The following is a 24,989-nucleotide window of genomic DNA, read 5'->3' as shown; positions in this document are numbered from 1 at the left end:
TTACAAGAGTAGAAGAGTGATTAGAAGAATAGAAAACATTACCAAATCTTGGAAGCTGGTTTTATCACTAGCAATAATTTTGCTGGGATCTTTCAAAAGATGTTTATTTCAGTTTTACCTGAAGGTGAATTCCCAAACCCTTAAATTTGATGAGCTCAGCTTCACCCAGTCCCTGGGCCAATTTTCACTAATCTGGGAAGAATTGGGAAGGCTATCACCATGCATGATTTGGGACTGGTGTGAGACTTGCTTCCTTAAATAAAATATTTTGTGTGCCTAGAGTGAGCCCATATATCCCCTGAATTACAGACTTTCCTTCCACCCCCCCCTCCTCAACCACTCCTGCTACAGTTATAGGTCGTGTGAATGGGCCTCAGCCTTGGAACCTGAGTGTATTCTTGATCCTTCTTTTAGACTGTGTATCTGCTGTGATTCCCAGCCCACCTTTCTGGGACTGTTAAACATCTCTTACAATCCCTTTCCGCATGAGGATGGGGCATACATCCTGTCTTTATAGTCCATAGCCCTCATGAACCACTATGAAAGAGCCCACCCACTCCAAGTGGAATTACTGCCTCTACCCATGAAATCCAAGGGACAGATAAATTCTCATTGTATCAGTCAGAACAAATGGAAACAATTCCAAATATTAAAACCAAGAACGATTAATTTGTAGAAATTGATCACATAGATGGCGGAAGAGCTGAGATACCAAAAGGAATGGGGAGCTAACCAATACATTAGTTATTACAGGACTGGAGAAGGCAGTTTTGCCAGACTCCAGGAATAGAGTGGCCTAATAGAAGCTAGAACCACAGCAGTTTTAGTGCAGAGGGCACGGGAGCTTGGTGAAGTTATAGCCCTTTCCGGATACTCTGCCTAATGCAGAGGGGAACAGAGAGATTACCCAAGCTTCTTCCTTCCCTCCATCATCACATCTCCCGAGGGTTCTCCCTATTGGCTGAACTCAATGGGAAGCTAGAAAGTCAAATACTGAGATCTGGGATATGCAGACTGCAGGGTGGACCCCACCTGCTATGTTACAGAACAGAGTTGGTTTGTTGGGGCTAAAGGAGAGGAAGGAGAGCCAGGCATGAACCCACAGGCAAATAGTTCTATAAATATACACACTCAGCAGACCATGCTGTCTTGGAGGATAACATCAGTGCAGATCAAACTGAAGCCCTCTCTTCCCCATAACAGTGTGACTGTTAGACTGTTCGGTACCTCTCTGCAGTCAGCCCATAGCTAAGACAATCTCTCTCAGCCTCAGCCCTGCTGTTCTCCCCTCTCTCTCTGACAGCTCAACACTGTAGTACAAGCTTGCCTTGAGCCAAGGTCACATGAATTATGACACATGATGCAAAAGTAATTTCTTGAATGTTTATTTCCCACACTGTTGATGAAATGTGAAACCATCTTTAATTTCCCCTTTTAAATCTGAAAATCTTAGGTTGTCATAAAAGTTAGAATGTATGAGGTTGTTCTGAAATTCTATAAAAGGCATTTTTTTCTCCCTGCTTCTATTTTTTTTAAAGTATGAGAAACTCAGGAGGCTCTGATATTTTGTATTGGTTACTTAACTCATAAAAAAGATGAGGTTTAGTTTTGGAGTTGTGCAATAAAATATGGCTAGATTTACATTTTGGAGAAATGTGATCAAAATATTTCCCAAGCAACTTTTCCAGCAATAAACAATGCTACTATAGCAAATTAAATTGAAAATTTTAAAAATACGTATTCATTCTGACTATATCTAGGTAAAAGTATTTCTTCTTTTCCAGTTGATGAGTTATAATTTTCATTAGATAAATGCGTGGGAATTGTTACCTGTTTTGCTTGAAAACACACACTTATTATTTTATATTATTAAAGACCCTTGTCCAGATAACTTAGCTCCCAAACTCAATTCATCAGGATAAAGGTATATTGAGGTTACACATTATTTCTGTTAGCCCTGAATAAATAAACACATTTTTAATCTCTTGCATTTGTGTTGTTCATGAAGAAGTGTATGTAGTCTAGTTAAAAAACCTTCAAAAACAACTGTAATATAATATATACTTAACAGAATAAAAAAATGACTTCAACTTTTATTTTAGATTCAGAGGTACCTGTGAAGGTTTGTTACATGAGTATATTGTGTGATGCTGACGTTTGGGGTACAAATGACACCATCATTACCCAGGTAACGAGGATAGTACCCAATAGTTAGTTTTTCAGCCCTTGTCATCCTCCATCTCTCTTCCCTCTAGTAGTTCCCAGTGTCTTTTGTTGCCATCTTTTCTTTATCAAATCCACCATTGATGGGTACCTTATGTGGATTCCATGTCTTTGCTATTGTGAATAGTCCTGCAATAAACATACAAGTGCATGTGTCTTTTTGGTAGAATACTTTTTCTTTTGGGTATATACCCAGTAGTGGGAATGCTGGGTGTAATGGTACTGCTATTTTAAGTTCTTTGAGAAATCTCCAGACTGCTTTCCACAGTGGCTGAACTAATTTACATTCCCACTGACAGTGTATAAGCACTCCCTTTTCTTCACAGCCTTACCAGCATCTGCTGTTTCGACTTTTCAATAATAGCCATTCTGACTCGTGTGAGATGGTATCTCATTGTGGTTTTGGTTTGACTTTCTCTGTTTTTCATATGTTTGTTGGCTGCTTGTATGTTTTCTTTTGAGAAGTGTCTGTACATCTGTTCATGTCTTTTGACCAGGTTTTGATAGGGTTATTTGTTTTTTGCTTGTTCAATTGTTTAAGTTCCTTATAGATTCTGAATATTAGACCTTTGTCAGATGCATAGTTTGGGAATATTTTCTCCCACTGTGTAGTTTGTCTGTTCATTCTGTTAATAGTTTCTTTTGCTGTGCAGAAACTCTTTTTTTTTTTTTTTTTGAGGTGAAGTCTCCCTGTTGTCCCCCAGGCTAGAGTGCAATGGCACAATCTTGGCTCCTTGCAACCTCCGCCTCCTGGGTTCAAGCGATTTTCCTGCCTCAGCTTCCTGAGTAGCTGGGATTACAGGTGCCTGCCACCATGCCTGGCTAATTTTTGTATTTTTAGCAGAGATGGGGTTTCACCATATTGGCCAGGCTGGCCTCGAACTCCTGACCTCAGGTGATCTGCCCACCTCGGCCTCCCAAAGTGCTGGGATTACAGACGTGAGCCACCGTGCCCAGCCACGGAAACTCTTTAGTTTAGGTCCCAATTGTCCAATTTTGTTTTTGTTGCAATTGCTTTTGAGGACTTAGTAAAAAATTCTTTCCTAAGGCTAATGTCCAGAATAGTGTTTCCTAGCTTTTCTTCTTCCAGGATTCTTACAGTTTAAGGTCCTACATTTTTTTGTATTATGAAATGTTTTAATTTTTAATTTTTGTGGGTACATAATATATAGATTATATGTATTACATAATATATATTATATTTTATATACATTATATATAATATGTAATATAATATATATTATATATTTATATATGTACACCTCATTGAGATTATATATAGTATATATTATATATTAATATATAATATATATTATATAAATATATATGGGGTACACAAGATATGAGGTCTCACATTAAATTTTTTAGCATTAATTTTTGTATATGGTGAATGGTAAGGGTCCAGCTTCACCTGCATATGGCTAGTCAGCTGTCCCAGCAGCAATTATTGAATAGGGACTCCTTTCTCCATTGCTTATTTTTGTGGACTTTGTCAAAAATCAGATGGCTATAGGTATGAAGCTTTATTTCTGGGTACTGTATTCTGTTCCATTGGTTTATGTGTCTCTTTTTGTACCAGTACCTTGCTGTTTGGTTACTGTAGTGTTTTAGTATAGTTTGAAGTTAGGTAACGTTATGCTTCCAGGTTTGTTCTTTTTGTTTAGGATTGCTTTGGCTATTAAGGCTCTTTTTTGGTTCCAAATGTATTTTAAAATAGTTTTTTTTTTTCTAATTCTGTGAAAAATGATATTGGTAGTTTGAGAGAAATAATATTCATTCTGTAGATTGCTTTGGTTAGTATGGGCATTTTAATGATATTACATCTTCCAGTATATTATCATGGAATGTTTTTCCACTTGTTTGTGTCATCTATAATTTCTTTCAGCGGTGTTATATAACTCTCCTTGTAGACATCTTTCACCTCCTTGGTTAGGTATATTCCTATGTATTTTATTTTTTTGTGGCTATTGTAAATGGGGTTGTATTTTTTATTTGGCTCTCAGCTTGAATGTTTTTTGGGTATTGAATTGTTACTAATTTTTGTACATCAACTTTGTGTCCTGAAACTTTACTGAAATACTGTATCAATTCCAGGAGCCTCTTGGCAGGATATTTAGGGTTTTCTAGGTATAGAATCATATCATCAGCAAAGAGAGATATTTTGACTTCTTTTCTTTCTGTTTAGATTCCTTTTTATTTCTTTATCTTGCCTGATTACTCTGGCTGGGACTTCAGGTACTATGTTGAATAGGAGTGGTGAGAGTGGACATCCTTGTTTGTTCCAGTTCTCAAGGGGTATGCTTCCAGCTTTTGTCTATTCAGTGTGATGTTGGTTGTGGGTTTGTCATAGATGACTCTTATTATTTGAGGTATGTTCCTTCAATGTCTAGTTTGTTGAGAGTTTTTAAAAATAATGGAGTGATGTTGGGTTTTAACAAAAGCATTTCCATGTCTACTGAAATGATCATATGGTTTTTGGTTTTAATTATATTTATGTGGTGAAGCACATTTATTGATTTGTAGATGTTGAACCAACCTTGCATCCCAAGAATGAAGCCTAGTTGATCATGGTGAATTAATTCTTTGATGTCCTGCTGAATGTTTGCTAGCATTTGGTTGAGGAATTTTGTGTCTTGTTCATCAGGAATATTGGCCTATAGTTTTCTTTTTTGTAGTATCTTTGTCAGATTTTGGTATCGGAGTGATGCTGGCTTCATAGAATGAATTACAGGGGAGTCCCTCCTGCTCAAGTTTTTGGAGTAGTTTTAGTAGAATTATTACTAACTCTTCTTTGTGCATCTGGTAGAATTTGGCTGTGAATCTATCTAGTCTGGGGCTTTTTTTTTGGTTGGTAGAATTTTTATTACTGATTGAATTTCAGACCTCAATATTGGTCTGTATATGGCTTCAATTCAGTCTTTATTCAATCTTCGGAGGTTATGTGTTTCCAGGCATTTATCCATTTCTGTTCATAACAGTCTCTGAGGATCTTTTGTATTTTTGTGGTATCAGTTGTAATGTCACCCTAGTCTTTTTTTCTTTGTCAATTTAAGCAGCAGTCTGTCAATCCTGTTTATTCTTTGAAAAATCTAACTTTTGTTTTTGTTGATTCTTCATATGGATTTTTGTGTCTCAATTTTGTTCAGTACTCCTTTGATTTTAGCTATGTCTTTTCTTCGGAAGAATTTTTTAATGTTGAGACTTCTGTATGAATAAACAACATGAAGAATCGGCATGGACTACAATTTTTACTCTTCATTAAGTAGCAAATGATGTATATGTTTTCCGATTCTTACTAATAAGCACTAACATGTATTTACTCTTTGCTGTTATTGAATTGCTGTTTCATCTTTGATGCATTTTCTGAAAAATTTGAGACTAAGCTTCCCCAAAATGTTAAGATTGCTTAAAAAATAATTGAATGGCTTTTACTGAATTTGATAATTAAACATATAATTTTCTAGTTCTTTGCATTTTATTTATGAGTTTTTTCTCATGAACAGAAACAAATCTACTCGATCCCTAGGTAATGTATCTCAACTTGCCTAATAATCTCCTCAAAAAGGTTCGAAGCTATTCATCAGAAATCTTGTATATACACCCAAATAATTCATCCTGTGTTCTTCCTTTATTTACAGCTTTTGTTTTTGTTGCATTAAATTATCACTTGGTCTTTCCACATTCATGTTGAATTCTGGCTATATCAGAAAAAAAATTGTCCAATCTGAAATTGGTTTGGTTTTTGTCAGAAGTCCAGGAAAATTATTCTTTATGTCTGACAAGACTTACAAAAACAGGATTTTCTTTGTGTATTCTCTGTGGGTATGAAATTAAGCACAATTAGCATCCTTCATGTGAACTAGACCATCCATACTCAGATGCTAGATGATCAGAGATGGGTAAAAGACACAATAACAGGCTCAGTTTCTCAATTAGGATATATCAGTTTTCTATCACCACAATAATGTTATATAATAAACCACCTCAAAAACTTGCTACTTAGAATAACAATAATTTATTAATTCTCATGCACCTGTGTTTGCTGGGTGTTAAAAAAATCTCAACTTAAAAAAAACTCTGATAAATTGTTTTAATTTATCAGCGTTTATTTGTGCAAAAATCCTCAAAAGCAACAATTCTCAAATCGGGCAGTCCTCAGAACCAGAACAGTTTCTAAGAACTTCTGCCTGCTACATGGTCAGACAGCATTTATGAACAGAAAACAAAAGTACTGCAAAAAGAACAACTTGGCTGGGTGCGGTAGCATATGCCTGTAATTCTAGTACTTTTGGAGGCCAAAGTGGGAGGATCTCTTGAGCCCAGGAGTTCGAGACCAGCCTGGGCAACACAGTGACCTTGTCTTTACAAAAAATAAACTAAATTAGCCACATGTGTTGGCTTGTGCCTGTAGCCTCAGCTACAGGGGAGGCTGAGGTGAGAGGATTGCTTGAGCCTAGGAGATAGAGGTTGCAGTGAGCTGAAACCACACCACTGTACTCCAGCCTGGGTAGCAGAGCGAGACCCTGTCAAAACAAAACAAAATAAAAAAAACATATTTAATTGTTTATAGCTTGGCCTTTTGTCTTATTTGGATCCACTGGCCATCCACAATTGACTAAACTTCAGCAGCTGTATCTAACTGCAACTCAGCTATAAGTATACTCTCAAGTTAATTAGTTTCATTTAACATGAATGACTCCATATTGATTTGCTTTGTTGGACCCAGCATAGGAGCTTAGTATAAATCAATGGTCTCCTACACATTTTATTATTCCAGAATAACAATACTTTATTATTTTTTAAGCATCTCTGTTTGCTGGACAATTCTGCTAATATGAGTTGAGTTCAGCTGTTCATTGTTTTTGCAGTTAGCTGGTGAGCTAGGGGCTGAGATGACTAGGCTATACTCTATATTGTGTTTCAGCTCTAGCTGGCTAGCTTGAACTTGTCTTACGGAAAAGGCAAAGGAACAAAAGACGGAATGAAAGTAAGGAAGGCTTTTCGAGGTCTAGAGCTGGAATAGCATACATCACAAGGCCAGCCTAGATTCAAGGAGTGGGAAAATAGATAAGAGGAGCTTCAAAATCACATTGTAAAGAAAATGTATATAAAGATGAATAGAAATTTGAAACCACTCTTCTTCTTTTGCAATGAATCCATCACAGTAGCTCATTTTCTTCTCAAAAGAACACTAGTATTACTTGACTCTTCTACTCTTTTAATGTCTTTTAGGTTACTACTTCTCATATATGTTGTCTCTTGGGTCATTGAGAGAAGATAATTTGGCCAGAGTTTGGCTATCAAAGGTGTATGAGTTAGGGTTCTCCAGAGAAACAGGGCCAATAGAGTAACAGAAATATAGAAACAGAAGCAATAGAACTGAGAAAACAAGATATATGTATGTCTATCTATATCATCTATCTATAGATATACATGCACAGTATTTTTTAAATTTATGTTTAAAATATATAACATAGTGTTTTGATATGCATATTGAAATGATTACTAGAGACAAGAAAATTAACATACTCGTCATCTCACAGAGTTACCCTTGTATGTATGTCTGTGTGTGTGTGGTAAAACTAGCTAAAATTACTCTCTTAGTAAATTTCTAGTATGCAATGTAATTTTGTTAACTATCATCCTAATGCTGTAATTTAGATCTCTGTCCTACTTTTCCTACATTATTTTAAGGAATTGGCTAATGTAACTGTGGGACTGGCAAGTCTAAAATCCGTGGAGTAGGCCAGTAGGCTGGAGAAATAGGGAAGGGCAGATGTTGCAGCTCCAGCCTGAAGACATTCTGGAGGCAGAATTCACTCTCATGGGACCTTAGTCTCATTTCTCTTAAGGCCTTCAAATGGTTAGATGAGGTCTACCACATTATGGAGGATAATTTGCTTTAGTCAAAGTCTACTGATTTAAATTCTACTCTTATCTAAAAAATACCTTCACAGAAATATCAAAACCGGTGTTTAACCAAATATCTGGGTACTGTGGTCTAGCCATGTTGACACATGAAATTAACCATTACTGAAGATTTTAGTATTTTCCAACCAGGAGTTTATTTTATTTTGTTAGGTACTTTGGGCAAATGATCAAAGATCCAGTGCAAGAGTAAACAAACTTTTTCTGTATAGGACCTGGTAGTAAAAAATCTCTATCTCACAGCACTTCTTAAAAAACTTCTGTAAAAAATGTAAAAAACATCTTTGGATCACAGGGCTTATAATCTGCATTTGTATATTTGTAAGATATGAGCTGGGTTTGGTCCATGAGCAATAGTTTACTGATTTTTTTGTCTAGTAAATGGAGTTTTACTAAGCAAATCACTATAAATTCAGCCTATTTTAAGAGTGGAAAAAACCTTTCCCATGCCATGGTTTTAGATGCTCAGATGTTAAATGTATTCATTGCCAAGAGCAGATTTAAGACTGATCCGTCGCCTCCTAAGGTCATATATCCTTCTCTATGGCAAAATGCTGCTCAGAAGAGGCTATACAGGATATGTGCAGAGAGTAACAAAAAGGCACTCAATGTATGTTCTGGGTTGAAAGGGTGAGTTTTCCCCATTAGCTTCTCTGATATGGTTAGTCAAACGAACTCATGACTCAGGGTTACATAGCAGATAGGTGCTCTTGATCACATCATCACTGCATTGCAGCAACATGCGTGATTATGAAAACAGAAGCTATTTTCCCCACCAATAGAAAAATTTCTCTGGAAAAAATGGAGGAAAGATAATTGAGCTCAGGAGGCTTTTACTCCCAGGCCAAAAGTCCATGTTTTGTTCACTCAAATATACACATAGAAAAGTACATGAATGATAAGTTTTATGCATTTTTACCTGCATAACTTTATGAATTTTCACAAGGTGAATATTCCCTTATAACCGCTATTCATTTCAAGTAATAGAACATTGCCAAAACACCAGAAGATGTTTGCATTTCGGCACTATATTCCTCCTCCCCCAACTCAGCAATTATCTTGAACCAATATCATAAATTACTTTTTTGCTTCTTTTTATTTTTACCTATCACCTAGCTCATTAATTCTCTATCATAGATGGTCTGTTGTTAAACTCACCTATTGATATGTTATTTTCAGTAATTGTATTTTTCAGGATGGTTTTCTAGGGCTAGTCCTACAATTAGTTTATTACCATTGTCTAGAACTAAATCTTTATTATACATTCCAGTGTTTGGGAAATGAAATTCTACATCTTATCATCTGTTTTACTAAATAGATGTATTGTAATTACTGTAAGGTCTATTTCTAGTAGTTCTTCTTTCTGGACTTCATTCATTCTGATTTTTCTCTCAATTTAGTCATTTGGTCAGTTTTCCTTGTATGTCTGGTAACTTTTTATTGAATGTCAGATAATTGAAATGAAATATTTTAGGGATTATTTGGGGATCTTGCTAATGTATTTTCCCCCCAGCAAGAATTTACTTTTTCTTTTTGGCAGAGAATTAAAGTAGGTGAAGATTAGCCTTAAGCAGTCTGTGACTGAGCTGATCTGAAGTTGGGTTTTAGTTTTAGAAAAGACGATTTGGTTTGTTTTGGCTATAGCCCTTCCAGGATCTTAATAGAAGCTGGGACCTCTTGTTATTATCTCCATAGCCCATTAGAAAGTTAAGATAATTTTTTTTAGGAAATATAGAGAAAAATGTTTAAAAGTTTTTTATTTGCCTGCCAAAATAACGCATTTTTAAATTGCTCTACTTTAAGACTCAACACTTACAGATTATGGTTGTTCATGTAGAGGAGACAAAAAACATGCAAAGATGATGTGAATTTTTCAGAAATTATCTAAGAACATATAGTTTTATTTCATTTTCATGCCATGTTGCAATTAATTTTTTTTATGTTTGAATCCACTGTCCTAAATGAAAGCAAATTGCGTAAGACCAGCACAACATATGATGGCAGTAATGAACATCCTTAAAAATGGTAGGAATGGCCAGGTGCAGTGGCTCACGCCTGTAATCCCAGCACTGGGAGGCCGAGGCTGGTGGATCATGAGATCAGGAGTTTGAGACCAGCCTGGCCAATTTGATAAAACCCTGTCTGTACTGAAAATACAAAAATTAGCCAGGCGTGGTGGCATGCGCCTATAGTCCCAGCTACTCGGGAGGCTGAGGCAGGAGAATCCCTTGAACCTGGGAGGCAGAGGTTGCAGTGAGCCAAGATGGTGCCACTGCACTCCAGCCTGGGTGACAGAGCAAGACTCTGTCTCAAAAAAAAAAAAAAAAAGGTAGGGATACTGGGAACACAGTCACAAAGGCAAAAAAGTCAAAATGAGAGCATATTTTGGAAGATTAAGATTCAAAATCTCACTCTCCTTGAATTATAGATCTTTTTTTACTTCAGTAAATGTTCCTTTTTAAAAACATATATATTGTTTTTCAGTCATCTGGCAGAGTGCTTTTTTAGAAACTTCTTTTGCAGTAATATAATGCCTTAAAGTGTGGTGGGTAAGGGAAGGACAGGCAGAGGAGTGGCTGAAGCACAACTCATTCATCTGCTTTATTATAAGATTGTTTTTCCCCAGAATGTCTGTGAATACTGCACTGAACTACTCCATAATACTGAGGACAGAGCACAAGAAACTACCATTCCTGCTGAAATGGTCCAAAACCCACACATCACTTTTAGTTCTAAAGATTTGAATTTATTTTTATTTTGCTTTTGCATTAAGATGAGAAAAAAGCCAAACTTGTAATTCCACATATTGGAAGAATTAGTCTTCAGGATTTTAAAACAGACAGAATAGGATCAGATGATTAGTGCCCTACATTCCTGACCTAGTTTGCATCTTTCTGTTTAGTTTCCTTATAATTATGAATTATTAGAGTTGTCTGTGACTTCAAAAAGCAATGTTTATGATTCTGTAAAATGGAATTTTCAGCTTCACATGGGTATGTGGTCATAAGATTGTATTCTTTTTCCACAAATATTTCCTATTTTGGTGGACAGTTTCATATTGCCTACTTTTATTAAGAAATTTTACGTTATTTCTTTAGAAAATCATCTATCAAAAAATAACATTATTTTGTGAAGAGTGATGGAGACTTTTTCATGGCTTCTTAGCCTTATTTCCTGATATTCTTTTTAATCCATTCTATGCCATAATGATGAACCTTCCAGCCCATATCCAGTCCCCAAAGACACTGTGTTTGCAGGCAGCCCTGACTTTACACTTGCTCCTTTCCCCATGTGACTGCTTACCCACCTCCTTCACTCATTGTTGAAGACTAAGCTCATGCGTCATCTTTATGAGAACTCCCAGACTTCATGTAAAAAGTCTTTCTTGTACTGTGACAACACGCCGTTTTTTTTTTTGTTTGTTTGTTTGTTTGTCTTTTGAGATGGGGTCTCACTCTGTTGCCTAGGCTGGAATGCATGGCACGATCTTGGTTCACTGCAACCTCCACCTCCCAGGATCAAGCCATTCTCCTGCCTCAGCCTCCCGAGTAGCTGGGATTACAGGTGCCCGCCACCACACCCAGCTAATTTTGTATTTTAGTAGACTCGGGCTTTCTCCATCTTGGTCAGGCTGGTCTTGAACTCCTGACCTCAGATGATCCACCCGTCTCAGCCTCCCAAAGTGTTGGGATTACAGGTGTGACACACTCTGTTTTATAATTATTTGTAATATGTTCACTTCTCTCTATTGAGTTGTGAATTTATGTGTGGTAATGACAGTCTTTTATTATTCTTTAAATTACTGATATTTAATATGCTCCTTGGCCCAAGTACACAATTAATAGATCTTCACTAAAAATAAAAAAAAAATCTAAATTAAAGTCCCAAAGCCCAGCATTTCTTTTGACATAATGTACCTTATATTCAGGTTTTCATTGTTCTTGTTATTATTTAATTAAACATATTCTGGGAAGAGTAAAAGTGTACTTATATCAATGTGTAGGTCTGTGAAATATCTAATACTTTATACCGTATCATTTCTAAAGATATATAGTATTCATTAGCTACTATAATATGCTTTTGAGAGAATGTCCATATGGGTTTTCTTAGACTGATTCGGTCTGTCACCGCTTTAGAAGTTCTTGGCAAAACTGAAATGAGTGATGGCAACAATACATTGACAGAGTCTAGTTTTAGACTGTAACATCAGCTTGTTTGGAATGGAGCTCTTTGGAGTATCAGGAGATGAAGAGATATTATGTTTGCCTTTATGGGAAACTTTCCCTCTGGAGTATCAGTGCCCAACCATATAGAAGAAAAAGAAGGAATTGACTGCCTTTATTTAGCACGAAGCAAGCTTAAAACCTTTGCCCCAACGTGAGGGCCAACTTCTAGTCAAAGGATTGCTTTTGGAGAGTATCACCATTGTATTTGGTTACAAGAGAAACTAATATTCTATTTGGAAAGAGTCAGTATCTTAAATTACCTTTTATGGTATTAACTCAAGAGGAATTTCACCATAATGTAACAATGACCTAAATCAAACTATAAATATGGTTTCTGCTAGTAAAGAAATTGTCTTTACAGGACAATAATGGCTTGGTTTTAAAGAAAAATGTTCTGAGGTTACTTTAAACTTTTCTTACTCGTGAAATAAATATTGTCTGCTTACTATTTATTTAGTAACATTGTGCGTAGGGCATTGTTCACCAATTTACTAGTTCTGGATTCTGCTCAAATGCAATCTATAGCCAGATTCTTCAACTTTGACTGAATTCTTCAGAGTCACTAATATTCCTCTTACATTTTCCAGTATTTCAGGTAATCATGCATATCCACTGCCCAAGCCAGCAAATCTAAGTCTCTTAAGATTTCCAACTGTGCTTGCTACCATGAGAACATTTAGTTCCTAGAAGTTAAAAGCATACCTTTAAGCAGCTCATAAATTCTGGCTTCAGATTTAAACTGATGTCAGATGTCAGAGTCAATAACCTCCTAAACTGATGTGATCTCAATTCCATATGGCTCCGTTAGTCCACTTGATCTTCACATCTAAAACTGCTATGTGGTTAATTACCTGAGTCAGAACCATTCTTATGGGGAAGCAAAGGGTCTTCAGTTCAGATACGTATCAGGCTTCATTACTTTGTAGTTTGAAGGTTATCTCCTTACTTGAAAATATTTGGAAAGAGTGAAGTCTGTGGATCTCAATATTGAGAGTGCATAATTTTTATCACTTGGGGCATGTAAAATGACATTCGGGGGCCCCACCCCAAGACAATCTGGTTCACCGCGTTGAGTTGTTGCAGATTTTGGAGATGCAAAAATCCCACTTTTGAAAACACTGTCTTGAGATTTATACCCTCATCTTGGTGGATTTGGGAGTCATCTGGAGAGCCACAGGGGCTGGTAAAGACAGTCTTCTGGGGAAAGAAGCTCCAGGGGGAAGGCTGGGGCACTGAGGAGCAGGGCACTGAGAAAGAAGATAGAGACCCTAAAAATGTTTGTGTTCACTTTAAAACATTACCACTGTGTTCATGCATAATGAGGAACTGCTTGGGGTTATAATCACATTCTAGTGAGAAATGACTGCTGAAATAATTAAGGGGGTTGACTCTGTCGATGAGGAGTGAATGACTTTGTCTTTGGTGATACTGAAGTGAGGCTCCACTCAATGCACCGATCAAGTTTGTATCCTTGGATTTGACTCCGTACTCTTGTCTCCCATGCACCACACAGTGGTGGTGATCTTACGTAAGAAGTATGAAGACAGCAGTTGGGGTCAGATTAAAAAAGGATCAATCACAAGGAGTGATATAATTCTGCTTGTTAGGAGGGAGAATGAGTTGGACTCTGCTCCTGACCCTCAGTCAAAGCTGGAAACCCGGTGAGACCCCTACATGGTCAGGCACCAGTCCAGAGAAAGGGCCACTATTACATGTTGCTATCACATTCCAGGAGGAGGGCTCTAGCCATGTGTGAGTAGAGTGGAGGACAAAAATGAGAAAACCAAGTGAATGCTGTCAGCTGTCATTTTTGTGAGTGTGTGTGTGCATGTAACTCAATTAGCTGGTGCCTTCTATACCCTCCTTTGATCACATATTTATGTATGTGTTCATTCATTCTTTCATTTGATGATTCCACTAATATTTATTAAGGGTTCACTTTGTGCCAGTCACAGTGCTAAATGATGAAAATGACACAATCATTGCACAATTAAATCTAGTGAGAAAAACAGATGAGGACAGATAATAACAGTACTGGAGAGTAAGTACTATGACAAGGAAATAATGGGCACCTTGGGTGCACATAGGAAGGAAACATTGCTCGGACTTGGGGAATCCAGGAAGGCTTACCATTAGAAGGAGAATCTGAGCCCTGAAGACTGACAATTATTAGTCAAATAACGGAAGTAGTATTGCTGAAGACAAAAGGAATAACTTGTGAGAGTCATGAAGCAGGAGAGATCATGGTGTGATCAAGGAGCTGCAAAGCCAACATGAGCCAGGAACATCTTTCTATTAGTTTGCTCTCATACTGCTGATAAAGACATACCTGAGACTGGGTAATTTGTAAAGTAAAAATGTTTAATGGACTTCACAGTTCCACATGGCTGGGGAGGCCTCACAATCTTGGCGGAAAATGAAGGAAGAGCAAAGGGACATCTTACATGGTGGCAGGCAAGAGAGAACTTGTGCAGGAAAGCTTACTCTTATTCACTATCATGAGGACAGCACAGGAAAAACCTGCCCCTATGATTCAGTTACTTCCCACTGGGTCCCTCCCATGACACAGAATTGTGGGTGCTAAATTCAAGATGAGATTTGGATGGGGACACAGCCAAACCATATGAACCTTGAAACCTGGAAATATGTGTTGCAAAGGATGAGGCTGTAGAGGTAAGCATGGAGAAAATGGGACCTCACTGGGTCTAGGGAATTTAGAGATGAATAAGGCAGACTTGCACCCTCAGTAAGTTTATATTTGAGAATGCTCTTTTCATTCCATTTTTATAAAGTTATGAACCAATCGGAAACATATAGTGCTCAAATTCAATAGACTCCATCCACCATTTTAGATCCCATTACAAGCAAATAAATAATACATTTTACTGAAAGTGTCATTCATTAACTTTAGGCTGAGAAATATCGATGTTGAAGTTCAAATAATGTAGTACTGAATATTCATGGACTCTGTGTGCTGGACACTTTTCTAAACACTTTGTAAGTATTAATATAGTTAATCCTTATAAACAATTTTTGTCACATATATGATTATTATTTTTCTTGTTATGGATGAGCAGACAGAAGCATCAAGAGGTTATGTAACTTGCTCAAATTACATCAGAGCTTCTCTCTACATAATTCTACCTCCAGAGTCTGTCTTTTCTACTCTCATGTTATATACCCTCTCTGATTTAAGAAATGGATACTGTGAAAAATCAGAATAATAGAATTTCTTCAGTGGGTGAGAAGTCTGGTTGAAGACTAAAAGTGTCTGGTTTTTAATCAGTAATAGAGAAGCTACTGTCTTTACCACCAGAAAATGTGTGCCAAGGAGGCTAGTTTTAGTTAACTCTTGGATCTCATTCTTAATTCTGGCAGCCCCATCTATTATTGCAGATCCTGCCTGGGTATACTGGGCTTTCACCAGCTATGTAGAGATAAGACCTGACATCTCTCTTTTGCTTCCTGCCATGGGGATTCTCAGCAGTTGCTGTGGGAACCCACTTGGTTCTCACGCATGTGTAACCTGGAAATGCAGGAGATCTGATGCAGTAGGGGGTGACAGCTGATGCAATAGGGGGTGAGAGCTGATGCAATAGGGGGTGAGAGCTGATGCAATAGTGGGTGAGAGCTGATGGAATAGGGTGGGTGAAAGTCCATTGATCAATGCTTTCTCCTAGTTCTAAGATGTATTTTGTAAGACTCATCAGATGGTCCTGCGGGTTTGGGCACAATCTGTTGTAGCAGTTGGCCATTTTGATAATGCAGCCTTGTACTGGCTTTTCCTCTTTCATGGATTCACTGTTCCTGGACTTCCCTTTAGCTCTCTGGAATCCCACTTGTATATAAACTCCTGGTATGCAAACCTTTATCTCAGAGTCTTCTTTGAGGAACACAGGCTAAGACAATAAGTTAGATCCATATGTCAGAGAAGTTTGGTAATAAATTGTAGTGTAAATGTAGAATACAGAATTGCTATTCCTATAGGAATAAAACAATGCTGATTCTCTTTTTAGGTTTAGAAACTGGGAAACAAAATGTATATAAAAGTCCTCACTCTGAGTTCCTCATACAAAACACCGTAAGATTTTCCTTTAAAGTATAGAGATAAGAAGTACTTTACCAATAGAGCCTATTATAGTGAAGTTACCCAAGCAGCATTTTAGCTCCTGGTTCCATCACAAAATAGTTATGTAATTTGGGAAAGATAATGTCTTCATGACTTACTACTTCTCTTTTCTGGCTAGAACACATGAATATGGATGATTATAACTTTATTTGCATAGTATTTCCTAGAATGGTGTTTATAACACTCCTGCTGCTGTTTAAAGTATATCTTTGCATAACAACATACATAAGTGTCTAGAACTGTGAAGGATGTGAGATTTTTTTACCCTGTTTGCAAATGTAAAAATCAGCCTGCCGTGGATACCTGGATGCTGACAGAAGATGCAAGACTTTGGGGTCAGAAACAAAGGCAGTTTATTATTTGCAGCAATAGCAGTAGCCAGAGTATTAACATTTTTGTGCTGGTTCCTCAGTCTCAATTCCCACAGGAAGATGCAAACATTTTCAGGTGATACTTGTATGCTTAGTGGGTTGTATTACAGTCAAGGAATTCTGAACTTAGGGAACTCACATCTTTTATAATGAGAAATAAGATGCCTGCCCTTTTCTCTGGCAGGAGACGTTATCTTTACTACTCTGGAGAGTAAGCAAGCATGCTTTTTAATTTGGAGGGAGTCATCATCTCCATGTAGTAGGAGGCCATAAATTCTTTGTTCCAGAGCAAGACATTATCTCTCTCTTTTAAGGCTTCTCATCACATAAATATTTTTGAAAAGAAATAATGTGGAATGAAAGGTTGAACATATAGAAATTTGAGAGACCCATGGACTATTGTCTCCCAGGGACTCTCCAGAAACATCGTGTGAAAAGTATGTGTAGTAGTGCCCTTGCCATATGGACACGTGGCAACTGCTTAAGACGAGAGAGTTTTGGATGCCACAAAGTGAAAGTCGTTATACTGATGTTACCCTTGCACCAGGTTAGAAAAATATTTTTCTCTCATGTTCACTAAAACACCAGTTGCACATCTTACTGTCAGGAAATGCTTTACATAAGTACGTAGATATATAGGTAGAGCTAATTATAGTGTATAGATATATAATTTTACTCTTATTCTCAGTACAAATGATACACTTGATTTATTTTATTATTGCCATCTGTCATTTAAGAAGTATTTCCCTGTATTCTATTTTATTTGTGGAAGGCATGGAAATTATTATACATTAAAATTAGACAACGTATATAGGGGTGATCTTTATCCTCTCTAGAAATACTCCCTTTGGAAGACATAAGTCAAATAATATATGTCAATGTATTTGTGTTGTCTCTCACTGAAGAGATGGTGGTCCTCAGAAAGAAGGACATTGCAACATGACAAGTTTATGTGGTAGTAATTTCACAGGTCCTTGACCAAAGGAGCATATGAAAATTACTTGGGTAATATATACTGGGGAAAGAGGAATGTGCAGGCATTTTGAGGATAATTGGACATAAGGTCTGAGCTGACCTTGATACTCAGGAACTGAAGCACAATCATATGCCACTGTTAGAATGGGCATATATGAGAGCAAGTAATAAATGGAGTGCTAGCTCAGGACAGGCTCCCAGTGGATCCACTGATTCCCCAGATTTAGATAGTGGTCATTTCTCTGTGTCTCCAAATGTACAATTGGAATGGATATATTTTGCTAGCCAAAAAATGCCAACCTGAAAGAAGGATGAAACAGATCTTTTTTATGGTACAAATGATAGGCCAACTTGGTGTTGATAGTCTGCAAGGTTGCATACACCAGGAGGTGTTAAGTACCCTAAATCAATAACTGTAAACTGATGTTATTTTCCCAGTAGGTGTCTAGAAGCTAAAGGGTGGAGTGGCCCAGCTTACGACCACACCCATAGCACACTTGGGGGAGTTTTAGCTTCCTTTTTTTTAAAAAAATTTAGGTTTTGTGGATCTAGAAGTACTTATTCTCAAAAGGAAATGCTTTCACCAGGGGAGACAAGGAAAGTCCTGTTGAGCTTTAAGCTATTACTGCTGTCTGGTCAGGCTCCTTATATCAAAGGATGAGTAGGAAGAAATGACTACATCGTGGCAGGGTAGTTGACCCCAAATATTAGGGGTAGAAAAGGTAGCTGTACCACACTTGGGGCAGGGAGGAACATGTTTGGCACCACTGACCTACTAGTGTGTTGCTTAGTACTCCCCTTCCCTGTTGTGATAGGATGGTAATAAACAAAAATTTTGCAACTGTGACCCAAGAATTGCATGGTGGCTAAGACCTCAGACCCCTCAAAGATGAGTATTTGGGTCCCCCCAACAGGTAGACAACCTAGACCAAAAGAGGTGCAAGCTGAGAATGTATGGAATATAGAATGGGGAGTAAAGGTGGGCACTGTTGAGTATCATTTGCAGCCCTGAGACTAGCCCTAGTGGAGAGGACCAAAATTCCTCTAACAAATTGCATTCGAAAATGAGACCAACTAGGATCCCAAAGAGGATGTTTCTAGATTGAGAGAGCTTATTTACAAGAATCAAGTAGAACCAAGCATCGTATATTAGAGTGAACTGTAGTGGATACTATTGTGTGTCACCCAGATTAATGCCTTCAGAGTCAAGGTGCTCGTTCTCCAACCCTGAATATGTTGGCTGCTGTTGGATCCTAGCTGTGTTCCCCTGTAGAAATTGCCCTTGATGGAAGAACACTCCCTCAAGTGTCCAGTGTCTAGTCTGTTGGGTATATAAACACCTGGCCCCCTTTGTCTCAGTTTGGGACATCTTTAGAGGGTCACCACAGATTCAGAGTTCTACAGACTCTCTGTGGGATGGGCTGGAGCCTTTGATTGAACTCTACTACATTTCAACTTTTCCTTTGGAAAAGTCTTACTTCTTCACTCCCTTACAAGCAATATTCCTGAGAAGACATGCTGAGAAACCTCCTGTGCACAGATCTCAGTGTCTGTATGCAGAAAATCTGATCAATGACAACATACTTATTTGTTTCCCTGTGGGACAGTTTGGGCAACCTAAATTAGTAACGGCATACCACTTTTTTGCTTCGTATTTACTTAGTTTGGAATGAAAGTGAGAGATTTCGGGTAATAGACAATATAGAGATTATGTAACTCAATATTTTTCTATAATAGATAATCAAATAAAGGAAGGTTAAGTGAATCTTCTCCCTTTGTAAAAGTTATAAAAGAGCAATGAGAGGATGCCCTCCCTTTCTGAGGCTCTCATGTGCACAGAAACGTAAGAAGGAAATCTCATTCCAACTTGGGCATAGATTACTGTATCTTTAGCATATAAAGGGCAAAATTGGAAATGAGAGAATGAAAGTGAAAGCGTGAAAATCAGCTTCTTCCTCGATTCCCTTGCTATTGGATTTTATTCCAGGCTGGCTCTCCCAGTGCTGTGAAACTAATGAGCTGTGTTCTCATTCTGACTCAGTGTAGGCCACACCATTTGCAAGCCTGTTTAGAATGAGAGTGACGAGAGAAAGAATTACAAGTATTCACCTATTTTGTGTTCTTGCAAATTAAGAAATGTTGGATAAAACCCTCGTTTTACTCAATTCTGGGCAATTTCAAATTGAAGCATATTTTTGCCATCATAAAGAGCAGGCTTGAAGTCCTAATACTGGACTAAATTTATTTATGGACTAGGCATTCTCTCACTATGGCAATGTGGTGAAGTGGCCAGCAGCCCAGGACTACTCACTTTTTCCCTGCTTCCAGGAAGTAGCACAATAATTGTTAACAGACATGGCTGTAGAAAGCTTTTCTTTTTTTAAAATTTCTGTGACTATAATGAATTGTATGCCAAACATATACATATGTATAACTAAAAATGTGAGAAGCATGTATTATTCCAGTCACATTTAATTGCATCAACATGGAATTCCTATTGGCTTTTGCAGAAACAGCTAATGCGCCATGTGTGGAAGAATCCAGATGTTTGGATTCTATGCTCTTCCAATCCATTATATGAACATCCATTTATTACAATGTGTTGCATTGTGTGGAATGGAGAACTGCATCACTAATAAGGAAGTAAAGTTGAAGGCTAATTATACCGTTGCTATTTTCAAATGAGGATTTTTCTGCTGAAAGTGTTATTTTCAACATGAAATGGTGAATGATTTCTGCCTTGTGTTTTCATAGAGCCCTTCTGCTTGTTATTACTTACATGGCCATATGTCTCTTTCAGCAACTTCATTCAGCAACTCCAATCACAAACTCCAATCACATGTATACACACACATGCACACACACACACACACAAACACACACAAAAGCACAAACACATGCACTCATCCCTAAAATATAGGAGAACACAGCAAAGGCTTTAGCAGATATAAATGCCCAGGGCATAGAGTGATTGACAACTCATTCCCTTTAAGAAGAATGGGAACAATTTTCTAATGGGGTTTTGAGATGAGATGATATGAGAGGTTGAAAGATGGGATTTTGACAGTTGCAGTTTGGGGAGAGGATAATTTTAAGTGGACAGAATTTAATAAATAAAAGACAGATGGTGAAGAAAAGGCAACATGTTTTAAACATTTGCTGTATTCCCTTTTAAATATATAATTTCTTCTTTTATGACAAAGCAGGGATGGAACATTTCAACAAATCAGACTGAACACATTTAACGATACCAAGCTGTAAGGCCCAGTGCCCTTCAGTGGGAGGTCACTATTTTATTTACCTCAACAACATTAAAACACCCACATCTCAAGTCCCCACCTGATCTGACATTTAGTCTGATAAATAGTTAAGAGAATCAGGTCCGTGGGTATGATCATAGAATGACATGAGCCTATGGATCTCTGAAGGGTCCATAGAGAGCACAGGGCTTAGAAATGTTTCTATCAGGAAAGGCCTTGGAAAAGGAGCAGTTCTCAGATAGTGGTTGCTCTTCTTGATCTCTTTGGAGCAAAAAATCAGAAAAGCAATATGTACTTTAGATTCCAGGGCTCTTGGCATTGTTAATGTTTGAGCAGAAAGCAAGATAGATTGGACTTACAGATGAACGGTATGGATCCTTTTTGATCCACAACTATCAGTACTTGATTTAATTTGCCTCCTTCTCTTTTTACCATTTTAATCACTCCTAGGACTCCAACTTTTACCTCAAAGTAAAAGTCATCTAAACTTACGTCCTTGGCCATCTCTCCCTGCAAAGCTCCCATTCTCCTTTTCCAGCTACCTGTTCTACCTCAAACTGAGCAGTGCAAATCTTGGCTCCCCATTTTACAGGTTATTTTTTTTATATTTTTGGATGCCTCCCAAACCCCACTTTCCACCTTCTGTTGACCCATCTCGGGGCAGGAATTTGCTACTTGTTTTCCATAGTTAAAGCTTTGGCCTCGTATTCAACAATTCTCTTGAACTTTAAAAATAAGTTGGTTGCATCCAACCTCTTTCAGTTCTACCTTTGAAATGAATCATGAATCCATTCATTCTTTTTTATTCCAATCACTGATGGCATAGTCTGGAAATTCAGTTCTTCCTACTCTGCAGCAATAGGTTCTTAAATGGTTCTTGTGAATCTGTTCTTTCATTCCTTGTGTGTATCCATTTCCCAAAATACAAAATATGATGATGAAGGTAACAATAACTAAATGAGGAAGAGGGGGTACAACTACCTACTTAATTGTTATGAACCTTAATCAAGATTAGTTTTGTAAAGCATGTAGCATAGTGCCTGGAATATAATACATCCTGAATAAATATTGGCTATTACGTTTCTCTTTACCTTAGAAACACTGCATGTGTATATGCCAGTTCTCAAACTCACCTAATTCTTCCCCACATCTGGAGCTCCTTGCATCTGTCCCCTTTATTGGAATATCCTTCCTCTCTCTTTTGTCCTCTCTACCTTCAGCAGGCTACTTTCTGTTCATGCTCCAATCTCTGTTCAAAATTATATGTTTTCATTCCAGTCTTCCCTGAGTGCCAAGACCTGTTTAAACCACTGTGCTATGTGCTCCTGCAGAAAGTTGTATTTCTAATATTGAAGTTATTGAGTAGCAAAATAGAAAGTCATCACGTCAAAATACAGATGGACAAAGAATATGGAGATGATTCCTTTTCTGTAACTGATAGAATCTTCCTGAATGATGCCTACTCTAATAAAGAATTCTAACATGCTTTTAATGGTATTTTGGTTTTTCCCTATATTTTTGTATAGTTAGATTTACTTTAGGTTTATGTCCAGTCATTCAGATTTCCTCTCTGCTCCTTTTTTCTCACTGCAAGAGCCTCCACAGTGGTCTTTCTTGCTGCCTTGATGTCATCTGGCTCTTTTAGGCACTGTAGACCCCATCAAACCTCGGCCACTTGCTATAGAAGCCCCCACTGCAATCTCACTGGCTCTTAATTTCCCTGCCTTTGGAAACCTCTGCATGGCACACGGGGACTTCTAAGCCCCTCTCCTGCCACACTGAAGCAGAGGGACACTCAAGAGCATTACTTCAACCTTCCTTCTGCTCAATCATGCTTGCAATAATCTGCAAGGACCTGCAGGCTTACTGTGATCGAGAGAAAGAGAAGATATTGCATTAGAGTAGTTTTATCCAGGAGGGAAACACAGTTGAGTGTTATCCCTTTCAATCCAGGGGAGGGTGTGAAGGGTAAGAAATCAAATGAGAAGATCCCATTTGGGATTCTGGGAAGAGATGGCCTCACATGATGCCTCTCACCCCAGCCTGGGGTAGTCTTGTCACAGTAGAAATAACAAGCATATTTAGTCAGAAAGAAGGTCTATAATCACACTCTTGAGCCTTTTTCTACTCAAAGCATTTCCTGGCACTTCCCTCTCTTTTCCTATGTTTTATCATCTGTGTTTTTCTATTATTGTGCCTGTCGTTCATTGTATTTTGTAATGTCTGTCTCTTCCTTCTAGACCAGCAGTCCTCATCTGAAAGTGATTCTGTCCCCCATGGACATCTGGGCAATGTCTGGAGACATTTTCCTTGTCACAACCCTGGGGAGAAGGTGGTGAGGGGGTGCTACTGGCATCTAGTGGGAAGAGGCCAGGGGTGATGTTAAATGTTCTACAATGCACAGGAAAAGTTCTGTAACAAAGAATTGCCTGGCCCCCAGTGTCAATAATGGTGAAGTTGAGAAATCCTGTTTTAGACTGTAAAGAACTTGAGGCACGGATGCTGTCTTATTTATCTTTTCATTTCCAGTACCTCAAACATTATGTGGTTTATAATAGAGACTTTATAATTATTTATTTAATGGGTAGGTCATGAATGAATAAATAACTAGAAACATGAACGACATAAATGAATGAGTACCAGATATGTAATTTTTGAAATCTTCTAAAAAGCTCAATTGGTTTTGCTTATTTTGATTGATACAAAATTAACTTTGGTAGTTGAGTAGAAAAATGATCACATCTGATCTTTTCAGGGCCACAGATACTGGTTGATCGCTTAAAATTCACATAGCTCATGAAGGAGAGGAGGGAGCTAACATGGCAAATATTAGCGGTCAGCATCAAGCCCTTGCCCAACGACCTCTTCACCCTCATGTCTCCTAACAAATGAGGATGTTGCAGCACTGGAAAGACCTTCTTGGCTCTATGAGAAGAACAAACTGGATCCCTCCATTCAATGATCAAAAAGTTCACCAGAAATGGTCCCATGGGCATGTAGCATCTGCACTCAGTAATGGGAACTGATAGTGAAATTGTAGTCTACATGGCACATGGTGTGCTATTAACAGTTCCTGGCCAGGTGTTGTGGCTCACGCCTGTAATCCCAGCACTTTGGGAAGCTGAGGGGGGTGGATCACTTGAGGTCAGGAGTTCAAGACCAGCCTGACCAACATGGTGAAACCCCATCTCTACTAAAAATAAAAAAAATTAACCGGGCGTGGTGGCACACGCCTGTAATCCCAGCTACTCAGGAGGCTGAGGCAGGAGAATTGCCTGGGAGGCAGAGATTGCAGTGAGCTGAGATTGTGCTGGTGCACTCCAGCCTGGGCAACAGAGTGAGACTCCATTTTAAAAAAACAAAAACAAAAACAAAAAAAACCCAAAAACTTCCCTTGGCAAAAGGTGTGCCACTGCATGGTTTGGTTGCTTAAAAGTCATCTCCTAAATCCAACCCTGACTGAAAGAAATAGTGTAAGATGGTGGCTGTGCCAATGGCAGAGCTCTGTGGTAAGACGTATACAAAAGACATAGTGACCGCGGTTTAGATTATTCTCAGATGCCGTTTATGTCCAGCAAAGATAGCTCATGTATAAATGTCCGCAGTGTTCACCCTTAACTAGTTTAAATAGTTTTCTTTATTATGCTGTCTTTCTGATAATTTTAGATGTTCTTTACAATATTTGACATTCTCATTGATTTTTTTGTCAAATTGATGTGAATTTGGCAAACAGTCATTTAGAAGATTAGAAATTACAATGTACTGATTTCTTAAATGGTCCTTTATATGAAAGAATAAGCTTGGTTAGCAAGCAGATTTAGTAAGAAAGATCTGTAATCGCACTGGAGTTTTTTTTCTGCTCAAAGCATTTCCTGAC

Source organism: Homo sapiens, chromosome 21 (genome assembly GCF_000001405.40).
Source record: "Homo sapiens chromosome 21, GRCh38.p14 Primary Assembly".
Classification (NCBI taxonomy): Eukaryota; Metazoa; Chordata; class Mammalia; order Primates; family Hominidae; genus Homo; species Homo sapiens.
Note: the sequence above shows the minus strand (reverse complement) of the source record.